General features: G+C 39.9%; 1 protein-coding gene across 7 annotated transcripts in view; it reads right to left on the minus strand.

The window, feature by feature from the left end:
- The window catches only part of AMN1 (antagonist of mitotic exit network 1 homolog), a 58,038-nt gene that overhangs the window by 20,990 nt on the left and 14,491 nt on the right, over positions 1 to 22,557 (minus strand). For 4 of the 7 annotated variants that reach the window (XM_017018965.3, NM_001278411.2, NM_001113402.2 and 1 more), the window contains 4 exons: positions 17,167 to 17,299; positions 9,737 to 9,881; positions 5,614 to 5,831; positions 5,235 to 5,291 (listed from right to left, as the gene is read on the minus strand). In XM_017018965.3, coding sequence (XP_016874454.1) covers positions 5,235 to 5,291; positions 5,614 to 5,831; positions 9,737 to 9,881; positions 17,167 to 17,283 — 537 coding nt within the window. In that variant the 5' untranslated portion in view covers positions 17,284 to 17,299. Of the gene's footprint in view, positions 1 to 5,234; positions 5,292 to 5,613; positions 5,832 to 9,736; positions 9,882 to 10,575; positions 16,787 to 17,166; positions 17,300 to 22,557 lie in introns of those variants that run through there. The other 3 variants (NR_103523.1, NR_103522.2, XM_006719054.4) reach the window with 2 other exon arrangements.

Below are 22,557 nucleotides of genomic sequence, written 5' to 3' on the forward strand. Positions count from 1 at the left end.
TCAGCCTCTCAAAGTGTTGGGATTACAGGTGTGAGCCACTGCACCCAGCTGTAACATTATTTTAGAAAAAGAACAAATCCAGCACTTTGGGAGGCCAAGGCGGGCAGATCACCTGAGGTCAGGAGTTCGAGACCAGCCTGGCCAACATAGTGAAACCCTGTCTCTACTAAAAATACAAAAATTAGCTGGGCGTGGTGGTGTGCACCTGTAGTCCCAGCTACTTGGGAAGCTGAGGCAGAAGAATCGCTTGAACCCGGGAGGTGGAGGTTGCAGTGAGCCGAGATCACTGCATACCAGCCTGAGTGACAAAGTGAGACTCTGTCTCAAAAAAAAAAAACAAACGAAAAAAAACATATTAAATTAAGGCATTAAAAAAAAGAAAATATTTCTGGCAGATTAGGGTCTTACTGAAATTGCATACTCATAGCATAACTTTTATGGAAAACAATTTAGGACTGTTAAAAAAATATTCATACCTATTAATCCATTTGTTCCATTTTTGGGAATTCATTATAGCAACGGAAGGAAAAGTGACTGTCCCAATATATAATTATTTCTAATAGCTAAAAACCAGAAACAATCTGAATTACCAACAATAAAAAACAAGTATGTTACATTATACGGACAGTCTGTTCTCTGATATGCCAGGATCTAGAACAGTAAATGCTTAATAAATATTTATTAATAAATGAAATTTTATACAGCAAATTAAATTTTAATTATAAGGATTAAAGAAACTTATGAAATGACTGTAATATAAGGCTAAGAATGTGATAACATTTATTGAGGTACTACCACATATCTAGAATTGTATTAAAAGCTGAGGATAAAATGAACAAAATGATGAACACAATGATCAACAGAGATTTCAGAAACGATCATGATATTTGCTAAATGCTGTAACATAAGTTTGTACTAAGTGCTTGTTGATCTTTTTTTCTTTAATTTTATAATTTTTTTGAGACACGGTCTCACTCTGTTCCCCAAGCTGGAGTGCAGTAGTGCAAACACAGTTCACCGTAGCTTCAACCTCCCAAGTTGAAGGAGATCAATTGATCTCCCCACTCCAGACTCCTGAGCAGCTGGGAGTACAGGCATGCACCACCACCTCTGGTTAATTTTTTTTTTGAGATGGAGTTTCGCTCTTGTTGCCCAGGCTGGAGTGCAATTGCGTGATCTTAGCTCACTGCATCCTCCACCTCCCAGGTTCAAGCCTCAGCCTCCTGAGTAGCTGGGATTACAGGCATGCACCACCATGCCCAGCTAATTTTGTATTTTTAGTAGAGATGAGGTTTCTCCATGTTGGTCAGGCTCGTCTCTGAACTCCCAGCTTCATGTGATCCACCTGCCTCGGCCTCCCAAAGTGCTGGGATTACAGGCGTAAGCCACCATGTCCAGCCAATGTTTGTATTTTTCTTTTTTCTTTTTTTTTTTAGATGGAGTTTTGCTCTTGTTGCCCAGGGTGGAGTGCAATGGTGTGATCTCAGCTCACCACAACCTCTGCCTCTTGGGTTCAAGCAATTCTCCTGCCTCAGCCTCCTAAGTAGTTGGGATTACAGGCATGCGCCACCACACCCAGCTAATTTTGTATTTTTAGTAGAGACGGGGTTTCTCCATGTTGGTCAGGCTGGTCTCAAACTCCCAACCTCAGGTGATCTGCCCACCTCAGCCTCCCAAAGTGCTGGGATTACAGGTGTGAGCCACCGCACCCAGCCTGTATTTTTCATAGAGACAAGGTTTCACTGTGTTGCCCAGGATGTTCTTGAAATCCTGAGCTCAAGGGATCCACTTGCTTTAGCCTCCCAAAGTGCTGAAATTACAGAAGTGAGCCACCACATTCAGCCTCTTGTCAATCTTTAGGAAAGGTCCTTAGACCTTTAATCAAATTGATTTCCAAATTATAAATAATTTAGCAACATTAATAATTTAATTTCCCAGAATGGAACAAATTAAAAGCAACAGATTAAAATGTGATGAAAGGTAGGCCTCCGCATTACCTATGAGAGTAGTTAGTAAAAAAAAAAAAAAATTAGGGCTGGGTGCGGTGGCTCACACCTGTAATCCCAGCACTTTGGGGGGCCAAGGAGGGTGGATCACCTGAAATCAGGTGTTTGAGACCAGCCTGGCCAACATGGTGAAACCCTGGCTCTACTAAAAATACAAAAATTAGCTGGGCATGGTGGCAGCTGCCTATAATCCCAGCTACTTGGGAGGCTGAGGCAGAAGAATTGCTTGTACCTGGGAGACGGAGGTTGCAGTGAGCTGAGATCACACTATTGCACTCCAGCCTGGGCCACAAGAGCGAAACTCTGTCTCAAAAAAAAAAAAAAAAAAATTAAGGCCAGACATGGTGGCTTATACCTGTAATTCCAGCACTTTGGGAAGCCAAGGCAGGAGAACTGCTTGAGTCCAGGAGTTCAAGATCATCCTGGGCAACATGGCAAGACCCATCTCTACAAAAAATAAAAAAGTAGCCAGGAGTGGGGGCACATACCTGTAGCCCCAGCTATTTAGGAAGCTGAGGTGGGAGGATTGCTTGAGCCAGGGCAGTCAAGGCTGCTGTAAGCCATGATTGTGCCACTGTACTCCACCCTGGGTGACAGAACAAGACCCTGTCTCAAAAAACAAAATTTAAGTTTGTCCTTCAGTTTGAGTCAGAGGATGCTATAAACCAAAGGTTAAAGTATATTCACTCAGGCCAAGCATGTGGCTCACACCTATAGTTCTAGCACTTTAGGAAGTCAAGACAGGAGGATCACTGAGGCCAGGAGTTTGAGACCAGCCTGGGCAACATAAAAAGACCCTGTCTCTACAAAACAAAACAAAACAAAACAATTTTTTTAAAAAGTATATTCACCCTACTTTGTTTAAGTAAGGCATTAAGTTCTAATAAATTTTAGAGACATTTCCATTAAAATGTTTTGGCACTTTGGAATAATCTTTGGAAAACTGAAAAAATAAAAAATGTAATGATATGGCACTATAATCACCAACACACTGGTTATTGCATTTTTTTCTCATTCTACTTAGGTTGGTGCTCTTAATTTTATAATGTTGAGGTAAATAGGTCAGTATATTTACTATCATGCATAACAACTAATTTCTTGGTGGTTTTATTTGAAGGTGATAAACTAATTTAACTGAGAACTTTATTTAAAATTATAGTAATTACAAGATAATGTTGTAAGCATTACATAACCTAGTGAATATAAGGCAGTTAGTATACAGCCTGGCATAACAGTAAGTGCTCGACAAATGTTTGCACTTAAAATACCAAAAATTACTGTTCCTGCATTTAGGATGCAATTTGGAATTCAAAACTTGGTATAATAATAAATATAGTAATTTCTTTCTTTCTTTCTTTTTTTTTTTTTTGAGATGGAGTTTCGCTCTTGTTGCCCAGGCTGGAATGCAATAGCGCAGTCTCGGCTCACTGCAACCTCCCACCTCCCAGGTTCAAGTGATTCTCCTATCTCAGGCTCCCAAGTAGCTGGGATTACAGGTACCTGCCACCATGCCCAGCTAATTTTTTGTATTTTTAGTAGAGATGGGGTTTCTCCATGTTGGCCAGGCTGGTCTTGAACTCCTGGCCTCAGGTGATCCACCTGTCTCGGCCTCCCAAAGTGCTGGGATTATAGGCGTGAGCCACCATGCCCAACCTAATATGGTAATTTCTTAATAAAATATTTAAAAAATATATATGCTACCAAGACCCAGATATATAAAATCACAAAAAAGAATCTCTTTGGGCAATAACTCAAGGATAAATATTTTGGCAAAAACGTGGCATTGTCATTCCATTACAATAGTTGGCTTTTTAAAAAATGTATTTATGGCAGGGCACGGTGGCTCACACCTGCAATCCCAGCACTTTGGGAGGTCGAGGGGGGCGGATCACCTGAGGTCAGAAGTCTGAGACCAGCCTAGCCAACATGGCAAAACCCTGTCTCTAATATAAAAATTAGCTGGATGTGGTGGCACATGCCTGCAGTCCCAGCTACTCAGGAGACTGAGGCTGGAGAATCGCTTGAACTTGGGACATGGAAGTTGCAGTGAGCTGAGATCACACCACTGCACTCCAGCCTGGGCGACAGAGCAAGACTCCGTCTCAAAATAAATAAATAAATTAATTAATTAAAATTAAAATAAAAAAGTATTTATTTATTTAAGATATAAGTTCTCACTATGTTGCCAGGCTGGACTCCAACTCTTGGGTTCAAGGGATCCTCCTGCCTCAGCCTCCCTGAGTAGCTGGGACTACAGGAATGCACCACTGTGCCCTATTAAAATAGTTATTTTTACTAACATTTTTATAATTAATTTACAGCCTGCCTACTTCCAAAAAGGATTTGATGTAGCTTACTGTTAAATAGCATAGTTATATTAAACCACTTGTCAACTGGGGAAGACAGAAACCAAAATCCTGGGATAAAAGGCTTCTTAATATATTTAGAAATAGGTTACAAGTGCATTAGTGATTCAATTCAAAGGATGAACACAAATTTAAGATCTTTTTTAGGCCGGGTGCAGTGGCTCACTCCTGTAATCCCAGTACTATGAGAGGCCGAGGCGGTCGGATCACCTGAGGTCGGGAGTTCGAGACCAGCCTGGCCAACACGGTGAAACCCCGTCTCTACTAAAAATACAAAAATTAGTCGGTGGCACACATCTGTAATCCTAGCTGCTTGGGAGGCTGAGGCACGAGAAGTGCTTGAACCTGGGAGGTGGAGGTTCCAGTGAGCCGAGATTATGCCACTGCACTCCAGCCTGGGCAACAGTGGGAGACTCCGTCTCAAAAAAAAAAAAAAACTTTTTTAAATGATCGTACAATGTGGCTATCAAGAAAAATAGGATGACAGGATGTCAAGAGAATTAATACTCCTGGTAGAAATATCATTAAGACCTGAAATCCTATTATAAATAATATCACTTTACACTGATAAACATTCATAATCTTCATCCATAATAAGATGATTCTTAAATCTGTTAGAAGCTAAAACTTCGGGGAAATAAGGCCTTTTATTGGAAGTAAAATGAGTTTTTATTTTAAAGCACCTTTATTTTATATCCTAACAATTTTTATTTACTCTGGCAATAAAGAGATAGAACACCCACCAACAAAGTCCCTAAAATACGTAATTGATAAAGCATTGGTTATCCGCTAGGTTTTAAACATAATTTCTAAGAATATAAAAATTTAATCACCACCATCTTTATAATTGTTTTAAAATTACCTCTAATTTCTTCGCACAAGGTCCACTAACAAGTGCAATCACACCACTGTCAGATACCTAAGCAAAGGGAAAAAGAAACACAGTCCATGAATCCAGACAACGGAAGTAGAATTTTCCAAAATGTATTCATTATTTAGATATAGTCTTAATGCCTCCCATTCATCAAACATGTGTTTTAGCCATATATACCTTTCACCCTTGCTACTTAATTGAGAGGAATATGCCAATATATATCTCAATTACTTAACCACAAAAAGCATGAAGTGGTCAATAGTTTCAACAAAAACAAAATGAACTCCTTATGATATGTTCTCATTAGTCATGAAAATACATTTGGTAAACACATAGTCTATATGTTTGTAGCCTATATGTCATTTACCTGAGTAGCTGAAAAGTCGACACACTGCAAAAATGGGCAGTTTTTTCCTAATGCATGTAAGGACACATCAGTAATACTTAAGCAGCCACCTAAATCGATGATCTTTAGCAGCTGGCAATTGAGTGCAAGAGCAACGACTCCTTCGTCAGTGAGATTGCAGCATCTTTTCAAAGAAGCTTCGTGTAGGTATGAACAAGATGAAGCCACAGCTTTTATTCCTGGGGGAAAATATAATTATATATCAATGAGCTATATGTGTGTATATGTATACATGAGAAATGTGACTGATTTTCATTTTAGCAATCACCAGTTCAGTGTTAGCCCTTTTCAAAGTAGTCCACCTGTGAGGAAATACTGATTTTCCAGTGATACTGTCATTATTCAGAACTCTTTTGGAATGTTTCAGGAATTCTCTACACAGTCTGTAGTATCTGCAATTAATGGCAAGGCTTTATTGTCCACAGGTTGAATTCCTTTTAGGAAATAGGCAAAAGTCATTCAGAACCCAATTAGATAGTGAAATAGTAGGCGATTCTCCTTTTGGTTAAAACAAAAATTTTCAAGTAATCAAATTACTTTTCTAGTGGACTTTGGAGGCAAACCAAAAGTTAAACTGCCCAAATGGTTTCAGTCATGATCTTCATGCTTGCGGTTAGAAATTTATAGCTATGCCTATGTGTTCTCTCTCGCTCCACTTTGACTCTGTTCTCAAAAGTGAATTTATTTTCTACCACCATGCTCCTTCTGTTAGCCTGGACCAATCTTACATTTTCCTGAGGGTCAAAAAAGAGAAGTCTTTAAATCCAGTTAAGCTGATATAAGTGCCCATTGGAGATGGGTGCACATAAATAAAAGAGTACTTCGGGGATCCTGGGCCCTTTGGTCATAAACAAACATGGTAGCACTGTTAAAAGATACCTTTATGGGCAAAATACACAGAAGGGAAGATGGTAAATTCATGGGTAGGTCATTTTTACTGTTTTCCATATCTTAAGAAAGAACTTTTTTTTTTTCTTAAGACCAGTTATTTTATTTATCAGTGTCCAGCATGGAAGTTGTGATACAATAAGAACTGTATTTGATCTTTGTTCCCAGTCCCTGACACAGAGCTCCGAAAAGCCTTATAATTTCCTGAGTGACCGGAGTGCCTTTTGTTAGTCATAATAAGCCCCTTTTGATCATACCTGAGTTTAAGCTAATGAGGTGACAGCATGTGACCCCTAGATAGCCTAAGGTTGGGGCCTGTCTCCAGAAAAATCAAGTGAGTAGAGGGTTAGAACATTCAGCTCAGTCCACAGACCTTTGGCGAGGTGGGGGTCAGGGACGGCAGGGAATAGGGGATGGGGATTAAGCTCTATAAAAACTCTTGGGACGGGTGTGGTGGTTCACACCTGTAATCTCAGCACTTTGGGAGGCCGAGGCGGGCAGATTACTTGAGCTCAGGAGTTTGAGAGCAGCCTGGCCAACATGGTGAAACCCTGTCTCTACTAAAAATACAAAAATTAGCTGGGCATGGTGTTACATGCCTGTAATCCCAGCTACTCCGGAGGCTGAGGCAGGAGAATCAGAATCACTTGAACCCAGAGGTGGAGGATGCAGTGAGCCGAGATGGCACCACTACACTCAAGCCTGGGCAATATGGTGAGACTCTGTCTCAAAAAAAAAAAAAAAAAAAAAAAAAAGAAAGAAAAGAAAAGAAAAAGGAAGAAGAAAAAACAAACAAAAAACCTCTTGAACAAGAAGACTTGATGAGCTTCTGGGTTGGTGAATGCATCCACATGCTGGGAGGGCAGTGTATCCCAACTCCATGGGGACAGGGGCTCCTGCGCTTCCAGACCTCACCCTATGTACTCTTCATCTTGCTGTTCATCTGTATCCTTTATAATCTCTTAGAATAAACTGGTAAATGTAACAAAAGTGTTTCCCTGAGTTTTGTGAGCCATTCTGACAAATTATTGAATGGAGGAGGAGGTCATGGAAACCCTCCATTTATAGTTGGTCAGTCATATGTACCAGAGGCCTGGCCTTGCAATTGGCATCTGAAGTGGGGATAGTCTTGTGGGACTGAGCCCTTAACTTGTGGGATCTGAGGCTAACTCCAGGTAGATAGTGTCAGAATTGAATTAAATTGTAGCGCACCCAGCTGGTGTCCAGAGAGTTGGAGAATTGTTTGGTGTGAAAAAACCCCACACATTTGCTGTCAGAAGTGTGGTGTGAGTGTAGAGAAATGTGGTTTTATTGGAGAAGTTCTTTTTTGTGAGTTATTATTTATGTAAACATATTAAAACTTATGCGTGTTTGCAATATTATGAATATCCTAACTCGCTAACCAAGATGACTGCAAAATATACTCAACTACCCACACAGTTTTCCAGAATTCTAAGAGGCCAAAAAAGTCCCTCTTTCTTATATTTAAAAAAAAAAAAAAAGCCTGGGCAACCTAGTGAGACCTCGTCTCTACTAAAAATAAAAAATTCGCAGTGGGTGGTGGTGCACATCTGCGGTCCCAGCTACTTGGGAGGCTGAGGTGGGAGGATCGCTTGAGCCTGGGAGGCTGAGGCTACAGTGAGCCAAGATTGTGCCACTGCATTCCAGCTTGGGTGACAGATCAAGACACTGTCTTAAATAAATAAATAAAAATAAGTATTAATGCAAACCAAATATTGAAAAAAAGAGGTCTATAGAGAGGAAAAAAGGTAAAGATTCACTAACTCATGTAATAGTGACACTGAACAATGCAGTTTGTCTAGCTATAAAAAGCTATGCATTACACAAACTGATAGGAGAGTACCTAGTAAATTTAATCTGATGATTAATTCTTTTGTAATATGGCATCAAAAAAGCCTTAACAAAATATGAACTGGTCATTTCTTCTTCCACTATACCAGGCAAAATATTTAAAATACAGACGTATGTATCCATGTTTTGTTTTTTTTTTAGTTTTAATTTTAATTTTATTTATTTTTTTGAGACGGAGTCTTGCTCTGTTGCTCAGGCTGGAGTGCAGTGGCGCAATCTCGGCTCACTGCAACCTCCACCTCCCCAGTTCAAGCGATTCTCCTACCTCAGCCTCCCGAGTAGCTGGGACTACAGGCACGTGTCACCATGCCCGGCTAATTTTTTGTAGTTTTAGTAGAGACGGGGTTTCACCATGTTAGCCAGGATGGTCTCGATCTCCTGACCTCGTGATCCACCCGCCTAGGCCTCCCAAAGTGCTGGGATTACAGGCGTGAGCCAACACGCCTGGCCAATTTTTTGTTGTTGTTGTTGTTTATTTTTGAGAGAGTTTTGCTCTCATTGCCCAGGCTGGAGTGCAATGGCACAATCTCAGCTCAATGCAACCTCCACCTCCTAGGTTCAAGCGATTCTCCTACCTCAGCCTCCCAAGTAGCTGGGATTACAGGCATGCACCACCACGCCTGGCTAATTTTGTATTTTTAGTAGAGACAGGGTTTCTCCATGTTGGTCAGGCTGGTCTCGAACTCCTGACCTCAGGTGATCCACCTGCCTCGGCCTCCCAGAGTGCTGGGATTACAGGCATGAGCCACCGCACCTGGCCCTATTTTTTATTTCTTTCTGATAGAGTCTCCCTATGTCACCCAGGCTGGAGTAGTGGTGCAATCTCAGCTCATTGCAACTGCTACCTCCCAGGCTCAAGGGATTCTCGTGCCTCCACCTCCTAAGTAGCTGGGACTACAGGGTGCACCACCATGCCTGGCTAACTTTTGTATTTTTTGTAGAGATGAGGTAGGGGTCGGGGGCGGTCCATCATGCTGGCCAGGCTGGCATCGAACTCCTTGGCTCAAGCAGTCTGCCGGCCTCCCAGCTAAAAAAGTGCTGGAATGACTGTCATAAGCCACCTAGCCTGGCCCATGTTTATTTTACATATGTTTAAAATACAAGGTAGTGACTTACCCAGTGTCTTTCTTAACTTTGAGCACTGATTATAAGCAAGAATTCTAACTTGGATTATTTTCTTAGTCTGAATGTTTTTACTGATAAATATAATTCATATTTCTCTGACTTCTTCATACTCTCTTTTGACGTATTTTCTCCCTTACTCCACAATTTTACCAGATAGTGAATAGTAATCTACCAATGTACTCAGTGTTAATAAACATACCTTCTGAAGTTACAGAAACTCGGTTCCCTTTTGAAGCATTTAAATTTAATTTCTTCAGTTTTCTACAGTTAGACAGGTGCAGGAGAGCAGCATCTGATATATCGCAGCTCCGTAGATCTAGAGTTTGGACTTCAGGATGTAAAATCTATAACAAATAAGTGATTTTGAAAAAATTATTTCTTTCTATAAATACAAATATTTATTCCATATTCAGTGTTTTGGTGGTCATAACAGACAAGTGGCTGATGTAAAATACAGCAAAGAATACAGAAGCATATCCATGTGCAGACAGACACACAAAGCAGGAGAAAACCACTTCTACTTCCAGCAGGAGGTGCAGCTTTCAGTGCTGGCAAAGTCCTTCTTGGGACACAAAGCACTGTTGAGATGGCTAATTCAGGGGAAGGATCCATAGACCTGAGAAGCTTAACCAATGTGGCAGTGAGTAATAATCTTCTGGTAGCTGCTGGCATTAGAGACTCTCCCTATGGGCCTCTGTGCTTAGGAAGTATGAGTCTTTAATCACTTGTGTACCAAGTGCTTACAGAGCACTAGTACTGCTTATCTAGAACATTTACCTTCTATATCATTATTTTTGGGAGCTAATAAAATACCCCAGTATTATTGGGTGTTTTCTTGAGGTTGACAAATAATAGATTAATTCCTAAGCATTCTGAGCTCTTTCCTGTATTTTTCTGTTCTTTATTTTTTTTCCAAAATAGAAATGGCTTTACCTTTCTGAAAATAAAATAAGGTATTATTATTGTAAAACACTCAGACAATTTAGAAAAATTATAATAAGTTATAAGAATAATGATTTCTATTTATTAGATGCTTACCAGGAAGGGTACTGTCATATACATTATATTATTTTTTATTTTATTTTATTTTTGAGATGGAATTTCACTCTTGTTGCCCAGGCTGGAGTGCAATGGCGTGATCTCGGCTCACTGCAACCTCCGCCTCCCGGGTTCAAGCGATTCTCCTGCCTCAGCCTCCCAGTAGCTGGGATTACAGGCATGCACCACCACGCCTGGCTAATTTTGTATTTTTTAGTAGAGATGTGGTTTCTCCATGTTGGTCAGGCTGGTCTCAAACTCCCGGCTTCAGGTGATCTGCCCGCCTTGGCCTCCCAAAGTGCTGGGATTACAGGCGTGAGCCACTGTGCCTGGCCTACATTATGTTATTTAATATTCTCTCTCTCTCTCTTTCCACTGCCCACCACCCCACTGCCCGCCCCCAAGGGATTGGTCATTGCCATTTTACAAATCGGGAATTAAGACCCTGAGAGCTTAAGTAGCCAACATAAAGAACATAGCCAAAAGGAGTGGAGCTGGGATTGGAACCCAGGTCCTTTTAATTCCAAAGCCTAACCTTTTAACCTCTATAACTAAAATTACCCATAATACCAATACCCAGAGATAAAATTATATTAGCTTTTTAAAACTGTTAGATTCAGGGGGTACATGTGCAGGTTAGTTACAGGGATATACTGCATGATGCTGAAGTTTAGGCTTCAATTGAACCCATCACCCAAAGAGTGAACACAGTACTTGACAGGTAGTTTTTCAATCCTTGCTTCCCTTCCTCCTTCCTCCCTTTTGAAGTCCCCAGTGTGTATTTTTCCCATCTTTATGTCTGTGTGCACCCAGCGATTGGCTCCCACTTATAAGTGAGAACATGCAGTATTTGGTTTTCTGTGTCTGCATTTATTCATTAGGATAACGGCCTCCAGCTGCATCCATGTTGCTGTAAAGGACATGATTTTATGGCTGTATATATTCATTTTGATGTTTTTTGAGTTTAAAAAACGCTTTGAAGAACAACAGGATCAGATCACATATAAGATGAGCACTTTTTATAAAATCAATAGATTGTGGTTGTATATTATTCCATTTTCTGCAAGTATCATAACTTATTAAATGCATCCTACACTGGCAAACACTTGAGTTGAACATTTAGGTTGCTTTAGGTAGGCAATATTATGCCGTGATTAAGAACATGTGCTTTGCAAGCAGACTGCCCAACCTGGAACCCTATGATTGCCATCAAGCTCAGTTTTCTCTCTGTGCTTTACTAGCCTTATTACTAAAACAGGATATGTTGTGAGAAATAAAGGTGTCTTGCTTATAACATATGCTATATATAACTATGCTTATTATCATAAATGATATTATAATGAATATATGTGTGTACTTTTCTATTATCTTCCTGAGATTTCTACAGGAAGTAAATTGTTGAATTAATAATAAGCAAATCTTTAGAATTTTTAATAATGCCAAACTGTCCGTCTAAAAGGTTTTTTTAAATCAATTTACACTCTCACTAGCAGGAGATAAAAGTGACAGTTTCTCCACACTATTGCTAACATTGGGTTTTGGGATTTTTTTAAAGTCTCTGCCAAACTGAAAGGCAAACTGTCACTTTGATGACTAGTAAGGTTAAATATCCTTTGATATGTTATTGGAGATTTGTATTTTTTCCTCTGAGTATTTCCTGATTCTTCTGGTTTTTTATTTGGTTGTTTTGTTTTTTCTTATTGGCTTGGAGGGATTCTTTATATTGTCAAGATAAAAAAGCCCCTAGATTTTCATACATACTGTAAATATTTTTCCAAGTTTTTGACTTTGTTTCTTTTTTTTTTTTCTTCTTGCCATAAGGAAGTCTGTATTTTTATGTAATCAAATCCATCCAACTTTTTTTCTTGGTTTCCAACTTTAGTATCATGTTTAAAAAGGCCTTCTCCATCCAGAGAGTATAAAAAGATTTATGAAATACTTCAAAAACAGCCATCCAAAGATGTGTGTCACTTTGTAATGGATGTTGTATCTGGCTTTTTGAATAATGTCATAAGCAAGACTCTTGTTAAGGATGGAGACTAGAGGGAGAGTACCCAGAAAAATCATGTCTTGTTTTTCTATCTCATTCACCCTCTTCACCCCTCCTTTTAAATTCAGCTAAAATTAGGCTTAAAAAATGGTAAGGATTGCCATCAAACAAAAACCTAAGTCACTGAAGGATAAGCTAAAGGGATAGTAAGAAATGTGGATGGTGGAAAAGTGAAGAAAACCACCATTTTTCTACAGTGTCATTATGGTTCATCTATGAGTCACATATAACATTACATACTTCAACAGAACCATCAACAATAAGAACGTGGAGATATTATTCTACTTCCACAGAGCCAAGCAAACTACACCACTAAGGTATCTATGTTCAAATGCAAGCTAACATGAAGAAAATAAAGCATTATAATAAAGATATATCAGGTTAATGCAGAAGAAACATTAAAAACAGGTTAAAGTGCAATTCCAATGTAAAGTCACAGGGTTAGTCACATGCTCTAGCATGTAGGCTGGGCACTGTGGCTCACACTTATAATCCTAGATCTTTGGGAGGCCAAGGTGGGCAGATTGCTTGAGCCCAGAGGTTCAAGACCAGCCTGGGCAACATGGTGAAACCCTGTCTCTAAAAAAAATACAAAAATTAGCTGGATGTGGTAGTGGGTGCCTGTAGTCCTAGCTACTCAGGAGGCTGAGGTGGGAGGATCACCTGAGCCCAGGAGGTTGAGGCTGCAGTGAGCCATGATTATGCACTCTACCCTGGGTGACAGAGTGAGACCCTGTCTCAAAAAAAAAACAACAAACAAGCAAAAACCACAGAAAAACATATGCTGGAGTGCTATCATCAGACCTTGCTTCCTTTTGATTACAGGCTTTAGGCAGAAGGTGAAGTGAAGTCAGAGCAATTGTGGAGTCCTAATTAGGGAAAAGGAGTCAGGCTGGCAGGACAAGGGGAAAGCAAATAAGCTACAGGTCTGCCTTTCTTCATGGTCCAGAACATATAAACAAAAAGAAGAAGCAGATAAGCTATAGGTCTGCCTTTCTTTATGGCCCAGAACATATAGCCCTCCTGTGCAGACAACATACAAAACTCATAAACCTCCTGCTTATCACCAAACACTTTGATCTATCATCAAACACCTCGGCTGACAGAAGGATGCAAGTTAGTTCCCTCCTACCTTGGTGCTGTCAATCAGCCCAAGTTCCATTCTATAAAATCCCCAGCAAGCCTTTGTCTCCTGGCAGTTGGGTCCTCTCTTGCTGGTTCTGCCCGTTGCTCCCTTGCAATGTATTTTCATATTTTCTCTAATAAATCTGCCTTTCTTGGCCGGGCGCGGTGGCTCACGCCTGTAATCCCAGCACTTTGGGAGGCTGAGGCGGGCAGATCACAAGGTCAGGAGATCGAGACCATCCTGGCTAACATGGTGAAACCCCGTCTCTACTAAAAATACAAAAAATTAGCTGGGTGTGGTGGCGGGCGCCTGTAGTCCCAGCTACTCAGGAGGCTGAGGCAGGAGAATGGCGTGAACCTGGGAGGCAGAGGTTGCAGTGAGCCAAGATCATGCCACTGCGCTCCAGCCTGGGTGAAACAGCAAGACTCCGTCTCAAAAAAAAAAAAAAAAAAAAAAAAATCTGCCTTTCTTTACCTACAACTGTCTTGGTAAATTCTTTTACCACCATCCCACCAGCCTGGATAGATGCCGCTCACCCCCAACAGCAATTGGCAGTTCTAGTCTCTGCAGACTAGATGGTGATGGCTGCAGAGTGGTGGTGGCTGCAAACCCAAAGACAATATTTAAATGTAAGTAGTGTAGAAACTACTAACTAGCATTTTCACTTTTTGAAACACAAATAGCAAAAATACAAAAGATAACACAGGAGTAGTATCGAAGGAAATTATCTACTCTGCTATTTAATAACCTTTAAAATCAGAGGCTGAAGGTTAAGCCCTAATCTCACGGGCTGTTTAGCAGAACAAAGAGTGATTAACCATCTTTTTCTAGTGCTTGGGGCTCTCTGCCTTGGAGCTCATCACTCCAGCCCCTCTCCAGGCCTCCACCCCCTATGTCAGCTTAGTAGGGCCGAAACAGACTTGGGTCTGGCCTCCTTTACTCTTACCACTACCAGAGAGTATACAGAGATATGTTCACAGGCCAAAACAAGACATCTAGAGAGCACCACTATTTCAAAAGAAAAACAAAGATTACTGATTCCATCAGGAGCAGAGGAATTAGAACAGAGAGGCCAAATATATTAATAAGCATAATAATATGCTAAAAGAAATAAGAAAAGATTAATAAGATAAAACGAAACCATAAAAAGGTGAATTGGAAATATTAAATATGAAAAATATAGCAGTTGAAAAAAGAACAGTATAGATGAGAAGAGTGATTTTTTAACTACTGGTCATTATCCATGAATGGATTACAAAATCAGTTTAGCAGACTGTGATCAATATTTTTTCAGTAAAATAAGACTAAATAGAATAAAATTAAATAGAAAAGACCAAAATGTACTATACATTATACTGTTACACCTAAGTGTGGTTTGTGTACTACAGTCACAATGTAACGTATATTTCTTATTGTGAGTCTTGATCAAAAAGTTTTAAACTTTTTGAAAACACGGAGGTCAAGGGTACAGGTACCATGAAGACAAGTGTGTATGGAAGGCTAATGGGAGCTGACCAGAACAACACCATTTTGTTCCTGAATGTCATTCTGCAACTGCTTGACTGTAGAACGTACTTGCTGATGCTGCAGATGAAATTGCTGCCACTTCTGAAAAGACTATGCTATGCTGATGACTGAACTTTTTCCAAACCCCTGAATCAAGGACTTCTGCCTAGAAACCCTTATTCTAACTAATGAATTGTTTGATAACCCTCTCCCACCTTTCTCTTTAAAAGACCTCATATATCTCTTAGGACATATGAATTAAATAGTTAGGACATGATTTCAGATGCCTCTGGAATCTGTGTTCCTTGAATTCAATTCTAAAACCACCAATAAACCTTTTTGCTTGGATTTTCAGTCTCCACGACTCTGGTTGACACAAGAGAAGTAACTGAGACAATGGTAGAAGATGTTTTAGGAACTATTACATGTTGCGGGAAGTCAGGGACCCCAAATGGAGGGACCAGCTGGAGCCATGGCAGAGGAACATAAATTGTGAAGATTTCATGGACATTTATCACTTCCCAAATAATGCTTTCATAATTTCTTATGCCTGTCTTTATTTTAATCTCTTAATCCTATTATCTTCATAAACTGAGGATGTACGTCACCTCTGGACCACTGTGATGATTGCATTAACTGTACAAATTGATTGTAAAACATGTGTTTGAACAATATGAAATCAGTGCACCTTGAAAAAGAACAGAATAACAGCAATTTTAGCGAACAAGGGAAGACGACCATAAGGTCTGACTGCCTGCGGGGTCAGGCAAAAAGAGCCATATTTTTCTTCTTGCAGAGAGCCTATAAACAGACGTGCAAGTAGGAGAGATATTGCTAAATTCTTTTCCTAGCAAGGAATATTAAGACCCTAGGGAAAGAATTGCATTCCTGGGGGGAGGTCTATAAATGGCCACTCTGGGAGTGTCTGTCCTATGGGAGTGTCTGTCCTATGCGGTTGAGATAAGGACTGAGATACACCCTGGTCTCCTGCAGTACCCTCAGGCTTACTAGGATTGGGAAACCCCAGCCCTGGTAAATTTGAGGTCAGACTGGTTCTCTGCTCTCGAACCGTTTTCTGTTAAGATGTTTATCAAGACAATACGTGCACTGCTGAACATAGACCCTTATCAGGAGTTCTGATTTTGTCCTTGCCCTGTTTCCTCAGAAGCATGTGATCTTTGCTCTGCTTTTTGCCCTTTAAAGCATGTGACCTACTCCCTGTTCGTACATTCCTCCCCTTTTGAAATCCTTAATAAAAACTTGCTGGTTTTGTGGCTCAGGTGGGCATCACAGTCCTACCGATATGTGATGTCACCCCCGGCGGCCCAGCTGTAAAATTCCTCTCTTTGTACTCTTTCTCTTTATTTCTCAGACCAGCCGACACTTAGGAAAAATAGAAAGAACCTACATTGAAATATTGGGGGCAGGTTCCTCTGATAATTACATATGGACATTTTGGTTATCTGGAGGGAAAAAAACAAACCCTTATACTTTATAATATTCTAAAATGTGGGCCAGGCATGGTGGCTCACACCTGTAATCCCAGCATTTTGAGAGGCTGAGGCGGATGGATCACTTGAGCTCCGGAGTTCGAGACCAGCCTGGGCAACATGGTGAAACCCTGTCTCTACAAAAAATGCAAAAATTAGCCAGGCATGGTGGTGTACACCTATAGTCCCAACTACTCAGGAGGCTGAAGAGGGATCACCTAAGTCCAGGCAGCGGAGGTTGCAGTGAGCTGAGATTGCACCACTGTACTCCAGCCTGGGCAACGGAGCATGACCCTGTATAAAAAAAAAAAAATTAAAAATGATTACCAGTCTTACCATATACCATTGTTCCAAAAATCTAAAACCATATCTAAACAGAAAATATAATATGCTTGCTTTACAGTTATTCATACTCTTACCTCACTTATATTTGAATCTGTTATCTGTCCCTGCATACTCATTATTTTAATCAGTCTGTCTTTTATGTTGGGAGGCAAAGGCTTAATGTCTGTGAGATATCTGGAAATATTCTTCATGAAGCACCAAAGGCATCTGAAATACAAATACAATATAGTAAATCACACTGGGCCTGTACTGATTCCTAACACTTGTCTTAATGCTATTTGTTAGCACTTAGCCCTTTCATAAAAGTGTGTACATTTTGGCTGGGTGTGGTGGCTCACGCCTGTAATCCCAACACTTTGGGAAGCCCAGGCAGGAGGATGGCTTGAGCTCAGGAGTTTGAGACCAGCCTGAACAACATAGTGAAACCCTGTCTCTACAAAAAAAGAAAAAAAATACAAAAATTAGCTGAGCATGGTGATGTGAGCCTGTAGTCCCAGCTACTTGGGAGGCTGAGGTGGGAGGATCGCTTGGGCCCAGAAGGTCGAGACTGCAGTGAGCTGTGATTGTGCCACTACGCTCCAGCCTGGGCAACAGAGCAAGATCCTGTCTCAAAAAAAAGTATATACATTTTATATTAATACTATATTTACAACTTTAGCTCTGTAAGCTTCAAAAACCTAGTCTGTGTTAAATTACGGACAAGATGCTCTTCCTCTACAATTTTTTTCTATGCATACCTCATTTATCAAAATGCATTTTAAATGACCAACAAGAATGTTTTTCCTAAGTGTCTAATTTCTAAGACACATACTCCTAAATAAGCTTTATATTGGGACCCACTAATTGAAAAGTTTTATCTGTTAATCCAGCAAACTTGTTTTTACTATTTTTCTTGAAAACTATGTGGATAATGAAATCACTAGAGAAAGAACCATAACCACAAAGATTCAGCAAATATTACAAATCACAGAGATATCAAACTCAGTGCCAGGGTTGTATAGGCAGAAAGTAGAGTTATCAGGCAACAACCAAGAATCTTATGACCAACATATCTTATCTGTGTCCTGAAATTCCAACCATCTGAAAAACTCATACTTTAAAGAAACAAATACAAATCTTATTAATTTCTGTCTACAAATATCCCCATATATACAAAATTTTACATTCATGAGTGAATGTGATCATATACCTGTGATTAATTTTTTAGTGCAATGTTAATTTTTTCTTTTTCCTCTTTTGGTTTCCTACACAGTTTCCTCTCTTGTCCTTCCCCCTCCATTAGCTCTCTACACCAATGTAGCATATATTCTTTCTTATTTTTCTCTGTTCTTGTACACACACACACACACACACACACACACACACACATTTAAAGGCTTGTGTGGGGGAGGGGTCATTGTTTCCTAAAACGGCACCACAGTACACTTACTTTTATACACTGTCTTTCATTCAGTATCTTATGAAATCCCTTCAAGGCATCCGACACAGTACTGATTCTCCCTTAATGGTCACATCATATTTCACAGTACGGATGATCTATTTAGTGACTTGTATGCTGACAAGCATTACCACTATTTCTAGGATATGTTGTCAGATTATTTTTCAGAAAGTCTGGAAAACACTTCATATTTCTATTAGTAGTGTCAGAAAGCTCCTTTCCCTCTACATCCTTCCAGCAATAGATATCATGGCTAGTTTATTTATTTTTTGAGACAGAGTCTCACTCTGTCACCCAGGCTGGAGTGCAGTGGCATGATCTCAGCTCACTGCAACCTCTGCCTCCCAGGTTCAAGCAATTCTTCTGCCTCAGCCTCCCAAGTAGCTGAGACTATAGGCGTGTGCCACCATGCCTGGCTAATTTTTGTATTTTTAATAGAGATGGGGTTTCACCATATTGGCCAGGATGGTCCAAACTCCTCACTTGGGATTACAGGCATGAGCCACCGCACCCAGCCCTATTTATTTATTTTATATTTAATTTTAATTTTATTTATTCTTTCCATTTCTTTGTTATCTCCATTTCCCACTCCCATTCCCCACCCCTCTAGGAAACCATTCTCATGTTTAATGTGTATCCTTTCATTGTATATTTCCTTTTAACATGTTTATTGTATGCATGCATTTCTAATTTATAAACATGGGACTTGTCATAGATTTGTTTAGTTTTTCACTCAGCACTGTTTTCAAGATCACCTACTCTTAAATGTTGGAAGGCCTAACAGGTGAAAATGATGTCTCACTATTACTTTAACTTGTATTTCTCTAATTACCAATAAACAACATCCTTGCATGAGCTTGCTGGCTATCTGGATATGCTTTTCCATAAACAATCTATACATATCCTTTGCCTGTTTTGTTATTTTTAAAAACTGATACATAATAGATGTACATATTTTCAGGGTACATGTGATAATTTGATACATTCATATAATGTGTAAAGATCAAATCAGGGTAACTGGGTTATCCATCACCTTAAATATTTATCTTTTGTTTATGCTAGGAACATTCAAATTATTCTCTTCTAACCATTTTGAAGTGTATAATAGATTATTATTAACTATAGTCACCCTACCCATCTATTGAACACTATTTTTTATTTGTGTATTTATACCCATTAATCAACCTCTCTCTATGCCGCCATCCCCTGCCCTTCCCAGCCTCTGTTAGCCACCCATCTACTCTCTATCTTCATGATATCCACTTTTTTTTAGTTCCCACATATGAATGAGAACATGTGACATTTGTCTTTCTGTGTCTGGCTTACTTAACAAAATGACCTCCAGTTCCATCCATGTTGCTGCATATGACAGAATTCATTCATTCCCCCCTCCCTCCCTTCCTCCCTCCCTCCCTCCTTCCCTACCTCCCTCTCTCCCGAGATGGGGTCTTGCTCTGTTGCCTAGGTTGGGGTGCAATGGTGCAATCACAGCTCACTGCAGCCTTAACCTCCTAGGCTCAAGAGATCCTCCTGCCTCAGCTTCTAGAGGCATGCTTACCACACTTGACTAAGATTTCATTATTATTTTATTTTATTATTATTTTTTTTCAAGATGGAGTCTTGCTCTGTCGCCCAGGCTAGAGTGCAGTGGTGCAATGTCGGCTCACTGCAACCTCTGCCACCCAGGTTCAAGCAATTCTCCTTCCTTGGCCTCCCAAATAGCTGGGATTACAGGCACATGCCACCACGCCCGGCTAATTTTTGTATTCTTAGTAGAGACAGGGTTTCACCATGTTGGCCAGACTGGTCTTGAACTCTTGACCTCGTGATCTGCCTGCCTTGGCCTCCCAAAGTGTTGGGAATACAGGCATGAGCCACCGTACCCAGCAGATTTCATTATTTTTTAATGGCTGAATAATATTCCATCATATATATGTATTATACCACATTTTCTTTATTCATTCATCCATTGATGGGCACTTAGGTTGATTCCATATTTTGGTTATTTTTATTTTTTTGAGACAGAGTCTTGCTCTGTTGCCAGGCTGGAGTGCAGTGGCACAATCTCAGCTCACTGCAACCTCTGCCTTCCGGGTTCAAGCAATTCCCCTGCCTCAGCCTCCCAAGTAGCTGGGACTACAGGTGCATGCCACCACACTCAGCTAATTTTTTCTTTTTTAGTAGAGACGGGGTTTCACCATGTTAGCCAGGATGGTCTCAAACTCCTGACCTCGTGATCCACACGCCTCGGCCTCCCAAAGTGTTGGGATTACAGGTGTGAGCCACCATGCTCGGCCCATATTTTGGTTATTACAAATAGTGCTGCAATAAACATGGGAGTGCAGATATCTCTTTTATATATTTATTTATTTTCTTTTGGATATTTACCCAGTGGTGAAATTGCTGAATCATAGGGTAGTTCCATTTTTAGTTTTTTGAGGACCATTTTGTTATTTGTTGACAAATTTGTAAGAGCTCTTTGTTGTGGCCAAATACATGCTCTATATATTCAGAGAATGTATATTATCTACGTGAGAGATGTAATGTTCTCTCTGTGTGTTATATATATATGTATGTATAAGTATCTCTCTCCATGTATGTATATGTGTTTGCACATAAATATGTTTAATGTATATATGTTTATTTACAGTATTATCTAATTCTACTATATTCTTATTTTTCTACTAAATGTGGAATTTCTAGTTTATGATATTTGTAATTTAAAATCAAGTCTTCTTTTCATTTCTGCAAGTTTTTGCTTGTTGTTTTATAATAAAAAATTTCAAAAATACAGAAATATAAAACAGGGTGATATACATCTATGTACCTCAAACCTAGAATTTTGTTACTCTTTTATCATATTTGTGTCAGACATCTCAAGACATAAAACATTTCTGATTAAGGCTGAGCATGGTGGCTTATGTCTATAATCCCAGCACTTTGGGAGACTGAGACAGGAGGCTCACTTGAGCCCAGGAGTTCAAGACCAGCCTGGGAAACATGGCAAAACCCTGTCTCTACAAATAATACAAAAATTAGCTGGGTGTAGTGGCATTCACTTGTAGTCCCAGCTACCTGGGGTGCGGGGGTGCTGAGGTGGGAGGATTGTTTGAGTCCAGGAGGTGAGGCTGCAGTAAGCTGTGATTGTACCACTGCACTCCAGCCTGGGTGAGAGAGCTAGACCTTGTCTCAAAAAAAGAAAAAAAAAATTTTCTGATAAAATTAAAGCCACTTTTATATACTCGACTGGTTTACTCTATGTATCTCTGTTTGTAGAGACAATTACTACCATAAAGTTTTAAAAATAGTTCCTGTCCATTATTTAATTATACTTTTAATACTAATACATATATCTATAAATAAATTATTGATTTTTAAAATATAAATAAAGTTCCCTTAAATCATTTCACAGGAGTTGCTACAGCAGCATGGAAAGCTTTTTTAATATTATTATATTCTCAAAGCTGTACTATGAGTCGGGGGTAAAGAAAAAAGCCCAAAAAATTTTCCAATTCTCAAATTATAGCTTTTACGGCAGGAAAGCATTAGAATACACCTCCACCTGTAACATAAAGCAAGCAAACCACCAGATATCTCCAACTAGGATCTTAAGATTCCCTCTAAATTGTTCTCTAGAAACACCATTTGTGCCTTTAATCTGCCTTTAAAATTTTTATTTATTTATCTTGAGACAAGGTCTCACTCTGTTGCCCAGGCTGGAGTACAGTGGCACAATCACAGCTCACTGCAGCCTCAACCTCCAAGGCTCAAGTGATCCTCTTACCTCAGCCTCCCAAGTAGTTGGGACTACAGACATGCACCACCACAATCAGCTAATTTTCTGTATTTCTTGTAGAGATGGGGTCTCTATATGTTGCCCAGGCCGGTCTTGAACTCCTGGGCTGAAGTGAGCCTCCCACCTTGGCCTCCCAAACTGCTGGGATTACAGGCATGAGCCTTGTGCTCGGCCTTAATCTGCTTTTTAAACAGGAACACAGAACAAAAAAGATTGTTTGCAAATAAACAT

The sequence above is a fragment of the Homo sapiens genome, chromosome 12 (assembly GCF_000001405.40).
Source record: "Homo sapiens chromosome 12, GRCh38.p14 Primary Assembly".
NCBI classification, from domain to species: Eukaryota; Metazoa; Chordata; class Mammalia; order Primates; family Hominidae; genus Homo; species Homo sapiens.